Source organism: Homo sapiens, chromosome 1, assembly GCF_000001405.40.
Source record: "Homo sapiens chromosome 1, GRCh38.p14 Primary Assembly".
NCBI classification, from domain to species: Eukaryota; Metazoa; Chordata; class Mammalia; order Primates; family Hominidae; genus Homo; species Homo sapiens.
The window spans coordinates 44625478-44633427 of NC_000001.11; the positions used below are offsets into that span (position 1 = coordinate 44625478).

Below are 7950 nucleotides of genomic sequence, written 5' to 3' on the forward strand. Positions count from 1 at the left end.
TCACTGGCGATTTGGCATGGTTTTCTAAGCTGGGGAAGACTCCTAGGGAACTGTGTGCTTCCGGCTCAGAGCTGTACAGGCTGGAGAAGGTGGGGGGAGGAAGTATGGATTGCTTTCAGGCCTCCAGGCACCCAGTTTGCAGCTGAACAGGCCTTGGCAAGAGCGGGCTCTCAGGCAGAATGTGCCATGTGGTATTTAGAATTGTGGTGATTGCACACAATTTCAAGCAGACAGTTTATTAATCTAAACTGCAGGCGTATGTAGAAGAGGCCATACAAGATTGACATGGGGGGATTAGTTTTGCTGGGGTTTTTGCTGGGGTCATCACCGTAGCACCGGGATAAATGGACCCACATACATCCCTAGCTGCACGTGGGAAACTCACATGCTATTTAATTTACTGTCTCCATTGTGGGGCTGCCATCAGCCTGTATTAAGGGCAGGCGGGGTAGCGGGTATATGGCTTTACCCACAACCCTTCATGGGGATCCCAGAGTCTCTGCTCTCCAAGGGAAAACAAAACATATATAGTCTCAGCCTACTCGGAGTGGACTGGGAGTCTCACTCCACTGGGACAGAGATTAGCCTAAGCAGGGTCCCTCAAGGGGTCTCTACCCATCCCTAAAACCAAGCCATGCTCTCCCACAACCACACTCCCAGGACTTGACCCCATGCCTTTAGAATCTCAAGAGTGGTCTTTCTATCCCTCAGCCTCCTTCTCTTTGCCTGGCTCCCCAAAGCACCACAGGACTGGGAACTCTAGGGACTGACTGTAGGTCTCATTTGGCCTGAGGCCACATGTCTTTTTTCTTCTTCCAGTCCCTCCTGTTGTCTGCTTCCATCAAGAGGGAAGGAGAGTCTCCAACGGCATCACCCCACTCATCTGCCACCGATGACCTCCACCATTCAGACAGATACCAGGTGAGGAGGGGTGGTGAGTGGCCATGAGAAGCAAGCTCACCTGGGGGAGGGCTTCAAGAGCCTGCCCGGTGCTAACTCCTCCTCTCCTCTGTAGGCCACAGGAGAGGCCTGAACTGGGTTTGGTTCCCCCTGTGTCCCGTGCCCCTAAGTGAACTCAGGAGGCATACGTGTCAGGGAATAGGCCTTAAATAGATGGATTTTAGGGAGAGATGCCAAGGTCACATGGGCTCCATGGGCTCTGAGCACCTCTGAATCATTCTATCCATCAGGAAGTATCCTATGGGGTTTGGTTTCATAAGAGACCCAGATACATAGCCCAGAATCACCTGAAGATTTCAGACTTCAAAAGCATGATACCGGCCGGGTGCAGTGGCTCATGCCTGTAATCTCAGCACTTTGGGAGGCCGAGGCAGGCAGATCACGAGGTCAAGAGATCAAGACCATCCTGGCCAACATGGTGAGACCCCATCTCTGCTGAAAATACAAAAATTAGCTGGGCATGGTAGCGTGTGCCTGTAGTCCCAGCTACTTGGGAGGCTGAGGCAGGAGAATCGCTTGAACCCAGAAGATGGAGGTTGCAGTGAGCCAAGATTGCACCACGGCACTCCAGCCTGGCGACAGAGTGAGACTCCATCTCAAAAAAAAAAAAAAAAAAAAAAAAAAAAAGGCTAGGCGTGGTGGCTCATGCCTGTAATCCCAGCACTTTGAGAGGCCGAGGCGGGCGGATCACGAGGTCAGCAATTGGAGACCAGCCTGGCCAACATGGTGAAACCCCATCTCTACTAAAAATACAAAAATTAGCCAGGCATGGTGGCGGGCGCCTGTAATCCCAGCTACTCCGGAGGCTGAGGCAGGAGAATCACTTGAACCCGGGAGGCAGAGGTTGCAGTGAGCTGAGACCACGCCATTGTACTCCAGCCTGGGTGACAGAGCAAGACTCCGTCTCAAAAAAAAAAAAAAAAAAAAAAAAAAGCGTGATACCTTAAGCAAATAACCATTCAATTCTGCCAAACCTTGGTATCAGGCCCAGATAGAGAGACAGGCACACACTGCCTGTGAGTGTCTTGGGCAAATAGGAAGGGAGTCATCACACAGTCCTACAATATCATAGCAGAGGGGCCTAAGGGTAGCATCTTAGCTATAAACGGACCTTCTCTGGAGTAGGAAGGACAAAGAACTTCCCCCAAAACTTTTGTCTAAGGAGAGGCAGAGCCCTGTCTTTAAGAACCCCAGAGCCGTTAGATGAAAGAGAACAGTGCCCTATTCCAAGGAACATTTGTCCAAATGGCAACAGGGCTTCGCAGGGAGGCCCAGTGTGAGAAGGGAAGAACAGCCCTGATCTGATACAGAAAGACAGGGCTGCAGGGACCTGTAAGCTTGGGTAGAGAACCAGGGGCCCTGCTGGCACACCTGACCCTTTGTGGGAATTAAAGAAAGGTGTTCTCTGCACCCCTTCCTTCCAGCTGACACAGCCTGGCCTGGCACAGGGTGCAGAGCTTGGAGAGTAGAGTGCCCAGCACGGCTGGACAGACTCCGCCGAATGCCTTTGCATGGGACTCAAACTGCATAGCCCAAAGTGCAAGCCCTGGGAAGGGATCCCTGCTCTCTCTAAGGGAACCCCAGTTTCAGAAAGGAAGCCCAATAAGCCCCTGGGAGACACTGCCCCGATCCAGACAACCCTGGTTCAAGGCAGAGAAATGACCAGACCCCAGGGAATTCTGATCTGATAGGGAACAGAGACAAGGCTTTGTTCCAGAGCATTCTGGTCCAGAGGAATAGACAGCCCCACCTTCAGAGGCCTGTCCTCTGTACTGCACTCACGGCATGCGCCTTGCCATCTGTTCAACTAGGAAAGAGTAACCATCAGGCAACAATGCCTCAACTCCCTGACCCACCTTCCTCCCCACAAATGTCAGTATTTCTTTTATCTCCTAGAGACTATGAGGAAAGCTATGGACTCTCTTGCCTAAAAACATACGCATGTGTTTTTACATACACACAGGCACACACACATGCAGTGTTATACATACAACTTCAGGAGGTTAGGAAAGCTCTAGATCCCATCCCAATACCACTTGGAGATCTCTGAAGCCCAGGTTAAGACCCAAGACCCTGTTCTAGACTCTAAGCACACCTCCGAAAGGGCAAATCAAACTAGGTTGTGTCCTACAAGATAAAGCTGAAGCTCCTTATCATGGCAGCGAGGCCTTCTGTGATATAGATTCAACCTATATTTCCAGCTTCCATTCCAAATACTGTCCATGAATCCTATGGGCTATGCTCACTGAACTAATGCTAAACACTCCCTGGATGAGGCATTCCTTTCTTGCCTCTATGTCTTTTCACATGCTATTTCTTCTAACAGAACTGTTTTACCCCACTACATCAAATTTCTATTTATCCTTCCAAATCCTGCCCAAATATCATCTCCTCCAGGAAGTCTTTCTGGATTAGCTATCTCTTGACCCTTGTGTGTCCTGGTTATTGCCCCGTCACCCTACATTGTGATCACCTGTTCAGGTATGTTTCCGTTATCTACAAACCATCCCAAAACTTAGTGGCTTAACACAACTCATTATTTATGATGCTGTGGTTGACTGGGCATTTCCTCACTCATGCAGCTCATTCATCCTGGAGGACTGGCTGGGCTGGAAAGTCTAAAATGGCCTCACCGCATGTTTGGGAGATTGGGTGTCTTGGCTCTCTTCCATGTGGCCTCTCATCCTCCAGTATGTTCAATCAGCTTTCTTACTTAGCAGTCTCAGGGCAGTGTCACACCAAGAGGGTAAATGCCAAAGCCGCAAGGCCTGTTGAGGCCTAGAATCTGGAACTCACACATCACTTCCACCACTTTCTATTAAGCAAAGCAAGTCACAAAGCTAGCCCATAATCGAGTGATGAGGAAAGGCAGCTCTTGATAGGAGAAGATGCAAATAATTCTGGCCATATTTAATCTTTCACAATGAATCTGACTCCACTAGACTTGGAGTTTCTCCAAGGCAAGGACCTTGTCTTATCCTTCCTTTACTCAAACATTTATTTAGTACTGACTCATGTTCAGCTTAGTGTCCTTGCCTTCAAGGGGTTAGATTTGCAGATAGACAATTATGGTCCAGTGTCTTGAGTGCTATGACAGGAGTATAAATAAGTTTCTAGGGGCCAGGCACAGTGGCTCATGCCTGTAATCTCAGCACTTTGGGAGGCCAACGCAAGTGGACTGCTTGAGGCCAGGAGTTCAAGACCAGCCTGGGCAACATGGCAAAACCCTGTCTCTACTAAAAATATAAAATAAAAAAAATTAATAATAAAGAATACGTTTCTAGGATACTACAGTAGAAGGAGGAGAAAATCAGAGTAAGCTTCACACAGGAGGTAATGACTGAAAACGGACTCAGAGAAGGAACAGAAGTTCACTTGGCAGACAAGGAAGAAAGGTTACTCCAGATATAAAGACAACACTATGTAGAGAACATAGAGGTGTAACAGAATGATGTATCTGGGGACCTGCTAGCAGTTTGCTTTTGTTAGAAAGTAGAATGCAAGGAAAGTTAGTAGGTGAAGCTGGAAAGCAACCCAGAGACTAGCTGGGTATCCCATCCCTTGCTCTTTACACAAGGCCTGGCATGTAGTAGTTGTTCAGCTATGTCGGATTTTTAAAGTCACTGAGCTAGGCCTTGAAACCAGGGGGTATTGGTTTCTGGGGTTTTGTTTTTGTTTTTCATAGAGACAGGGTCTCACTATATTGCCCAGGCTGGTCTTGAACTCCTGGGCTCAAGCAATCCTCCTGCATTGGCTTTCCAAAGTGCTAAGATTAAAGGCATGAGCCTTGGTTTCTGGTTTGAATTCTCATTTACTTAGCCCCTGCTGACTAACTAACCCTCTTTATCATTACCTCACTTAAACCTCATAGCAACTGTATTCATCATGCCCAGTCTATTACCAAGGAAACAGGCCTAGAAAGAGGTGACTCTTCTAAGAACACATAAATTGTAAGTAACAGAATTAGGACTTGAACTTGAGTCTGTCTGGCCCTAAATCCGAGATTGTTTCCCAACCCATCACTGGGCTCAGGGCTTATCTCATAAAGTCTTTCTCCCGTTCCCACTGGTGTCTCCTTCATGCAAGACGCTGTGCTGGGTAAATGGCTAGAGATGACCTTCCAAGTACAAGGGACAGATATGTAAACAAACAATCAAAATATACATGATCAAAGAGAAGCAGTGGAACTGAAAACTCAGAGGAGGCATCAAACCCAGGCTTGGGGGACAAAACTAAGTCTTGCCAGAGTCCTGAAGGATGAACAACAGTTAACCAAGCAAGGGATACTGGAGGGCATGGAGGCTCTCTGGCCTGGAGTGCAGAGCATGGAGTGCTCAAAGAGCTAGTTAGCTCTGCAAAGCTGAGTGTCAGGAATGTAAAGGGAGAGAATAGGAGTGAGAGAAGAGTCTGGCAAGGCAGACAGGGAAGGCCTATATGCCTTGATGGAGAACCACTGAAGGATTTAAAGAAGGAGAGGGTTAATTTTGTCCAATAGAAAGATCACATTGTGTGTAGTGTGGAGGATGGGTTGCAGAGAGAGAAGCTAGAGACCAAAAGATGAGACGGGAACAGCTGCAAATTTCGAGAGCTCGTAAGATTATGTATGACTGGAGCACAACGACAACCAAGGTAGGTACAACCATGGAAGAACAACTCAGGGCTGACTTGCCTTTGCCCAGTGCCATGCTGGGCTCTGGGTTCACCCAAATAATTCACACACGGCCCCAACCCTGAAGTGGTCAGTCCACTGATAAAAACTTCACAAGCGATGATAACGGCGCAGAGATGAATGTACTCTTACACAAGGCAAAGCTATTTTTCAGTTAGACCTGGAAGGATGAGTAGGAGATACAGAGGTGGAGATGAGAAAATTAGCGACCTTTCAATGTACACTTTCAGGATCTAGAAAAGGATTGAGTGTGAGGGATGGAGAAAGTGGGGTCCAGGACGACTCTCAACTTTCTTCTGTGGGCACACCTGAGTAGATAGTGGCTTCCTCTTATGAACAGGGAACCCAAGAGGAAGGCCTCTGTTTGGAGGATACTGAGTTCCATGTTGGCCATGTTGGCCGTGTGGGTATGCAGTGCCTATGGGAGCTCCAGGGGCCGTGCAGCAGACAGCTGACATGTTGGGAGTCCTCTGATAACAGAACTGGATGGCCTAGGGGTTGGGCGGGGATCGCCCACAGGCGATAGGGAATTCGGACGCCTTGTCCCCTGTAAAGCACCCAACGCGATGCCTCTGCCCTAAGGGCAGCCGCGAGAAAGGCAGGCACAGGAGGCGGGAGCCGGGGCCGGGCGATGGGGCGGAAGGAGCCCCGCAGCGGGAGGGGTCGTGGAGTGGGGTGGAAGGACTTCGCAGCCGCTAAAGATTGGGTGGGTAGGCTTCACGGGCGGTGGGAGGGACCCCGGGGAGGCTTCTGCCGGTTGCTACCCGAGTACAAACGGCAGCTTCCTGGTCTCTGTCCGGCCGCCCCCGCCGCATTGTGAACTTTCACCCCCAGCGCGCGACGGCGGCAGATCACGTGATTAGGGCCAACATGGCCGCCGCCGCCGCTTGGAGCTGAAGTGCCGCCGCCGCCGGGCAGCCACGGGGAATCCGCCCGCATCGCCGCCCTCGCCGGCCGGGCGGCCGTGGGGCCCAGAGCGCCGGAGGCCAGGGCTGGGGCGGCACCGCGCAGCGGCCACGGGGTCCCGTTAGAGCAGCGCCCGGCGGCTATGCCGAGAGCCCGGAGCGGCCGGAGGAGCAGAGGGGCCGGCGGGAGGGAGGAAGTAGGTTTGTTTACGGGCTGTTTGGGGCGGAGCAGCTTTGGTCGGGGGTCCGGTGCTGGGGCGGGGGCCAGGACTGCAGGCCGCGCCTGACGCTCTCTTTTCTTTTCTTGCATCTGCCCGCGATCTTCTCCCAGACCTTTCTGCGAGTACGAGCCAACCGGCAGACCCGACTGAATGGTGAGTCCTGCCCGGCCCCTCCCTCCGCCCCACCCCCGGCCTCCTCCCTCCCTCCCTCACTGCCTGCCGCTCCTGGCTTGCCTGGGTCTCTTCGACTCTGGGGCCCGTTGGCTTCTTCGCAGTCACGGCGCCTGAGTATGTGCAAACCAAAGCTGCCGCTCTCAGTTTCCCCGTCTGTCTAATGGAGGTATGGCGCCCAGCTCTTGCCCAAACCTCTCTAAAGGCCCTGAAGAACCCTGGGGGGGCAATAAGTGCCGGAGAATGAGGAACGAGCTACACAATTCTACTCGGGAGCTCAGCTTTGAATTTGCAAACTGCTGGGACCTCACTATACAAACCTGCAGGGCGCTGAGAATGTTTTTCTTCCAGTTTTTAATCAGTGCCCAGTAGTGTGAATACAGCCCCTCTGCTGAGACTTGACAATACAGTGAGATCTGGAGTTCCCACGGCAACAGGAACTAACTCATCCCAGGGCTCTTTGAGTTATCAGTCGGCCCACATTTCACAAAGGTGATCAGCGTGGGCTCGACAGCTCTTAGAGGCCTTCTCTGAAAGCAGGCCGTGTATGCACTACCTAGCAGCCCCCCTTTTGGATTCAAACCTCTGGAGCATTCCTGTTTGCTGAATACAATTGAATGATCCTAGCTTTTTGTGCTTACTGGGGTGTGGTATCTGGGGGGTGGCTGTAAGGGGTTTAGGGTCTCTGGGTCAGCTGGTAAGTGAGAGAGGCCATGGAGTTCAAGATCCCCAGCTCTTATCACTTGGTTTCTGCTGCCAGGCTGAGCCCTAGTCTGGAAAAGGGAGAAATTCATGATGGGCTGGCGCCATGTTAAGCACCATTCTCACAACGCCTCTGAGAAGAGTATTACACACCTTTTGTGAATAAGAAAACAGGCTCTGAGAGGTGAAAGTGGTTTGTTTAAAAGTACACAGCTGGGATGTAACTGAGCCATGATTCAATTGAAGTTTGTTTCCCACCAAAGCCCGTGTTTCTCCAACCATGCCATGCTACCTCCTTGGCAAATGCTTTGATTCTTCCTAC

At 50.9% G+C, this 7950-nt stretch overlaps 1 protein-coding gene across 18 annotated transcripts in view, besides 7 other annotated features; it reads left to right on the forward strand.

Annotated features, from left to right (window-relative positions):
- RNF220 (ring finger protein 220) overlaps nt 1-7950 on the forward strand; it is a 246942-nt gene that overhangs the window by 220695 nt on the left and 18297 nt on the right. For 15 of the 18 annotated variants that reach the window (XM_047424277.1, XM_047424269.1, NM_001319956.1 and 12 more), the window contains 2 exons: nt 820-921; nt 6866-6908. In XM_047424277.1, the coding sequence (XP_047280233.1) occupies nt 820-921; nt 6866-6908 (145 nt within the window). Of the gene's footprint in view, nt 1-819; nt 922-4831; nt 6736-6865; nt 6914-7950 lie in introns of those variants that run through there. The other 3 variants (XM_047424282.1, NM_001376489.1, XR_007061417.1) reach the window with 2 other exon arrangements.
- Nucleotides 6000-6099: an enhancer, noted in NCBI's record as "active region_939". NCBI's record gives its function as "activates an Ori minimal core promoter by ATAC-STARR-seq in GM12878 lymphoblastoid cells {active_cell/tissue: GM12878}" and the evidence as "EXISTENCE:reporter gene assay evidence [ECO:0000049][PMID:35858748]".
- Nucleotides 6192-6739: an enhancer, noted in NCBI's record as "NANOG-H3K27ac-H3K4me1 hESC enhancer chr1:45097341-45097888 (GRCh37/hg19 assembly coordinates)". NCBI's record gives its function as "activates a minimal SCP1, AML or CMV promoter by ChIP-STARR-seq in primed H9 embryonic stem cells {active_cell/tissue: H9 hESC(primed)}" and the evidence as "EXISTENCE:reporter gene assay evidence [ECO:0000049][PMID:30033119]".
- Nucleotides 6192-6859: a biological region, named in NCBI's record as "NANOG-H3K27ac-H3K4me1 hESC enhancer GRCh37_chr1:45097341-45097888".
- Nucleotides 6430-6519: an enhancer, noted in NCBI's record as "active region_940". NCBI's record gives its function as "activates an Ori minimal core promoter by ATAC-STARR-seq in GM12878 lymphoblastoid cells {active_cell/tissue: GM12878}" and the evidence as "EXISTENCE:reporter gene assay evidence [ECO:0000049][PMID:35858748]".
- Nucleotides 6550-6859: a silencer, noted in NCBI's record as "silent region_811". NCBI's record gives its function as "represses an Ori minimal core promoter by ATAC-STARR-seq in GM12878 lymphoblastoid cells {active_cell/tissue: GM12878}" and the evidence as "EXISTENCE:reporter gene assay evidence [ECO:0000049][PMID:35858748]".
- Nucleotides 7130-7219: an enhancer, noted in NCBI's record as "active region_941". NCBI's record gives its function as "activates an Ori minimal core promoter by ATAC-STARR-seq in GM12878 lymphoblastoid cells {active_cell/tissue: GM12878}" and the evidence as "EXISTENCE:reporter gene assay evidence [ECO:0000049][PMID:35858748]".
- Nucleotides 7289-7836: an enhancer, noted in NCBI's record as "H3K27ac hESC enhancer chr1:45098438-45098985 (GRCh37/hg19 assembly coordinates)". NCBI's record gives its function as "activates a minimal SCP1, AML or CMV promoter by ChIP-STARR-seq in primed H9 embryonic stem cells {active_cell/tissue: H9 hESC(primed)}" and the evidence as "EXISTENCE:reporter gene assay evidence [ECO:0000049][PMID:30033119]".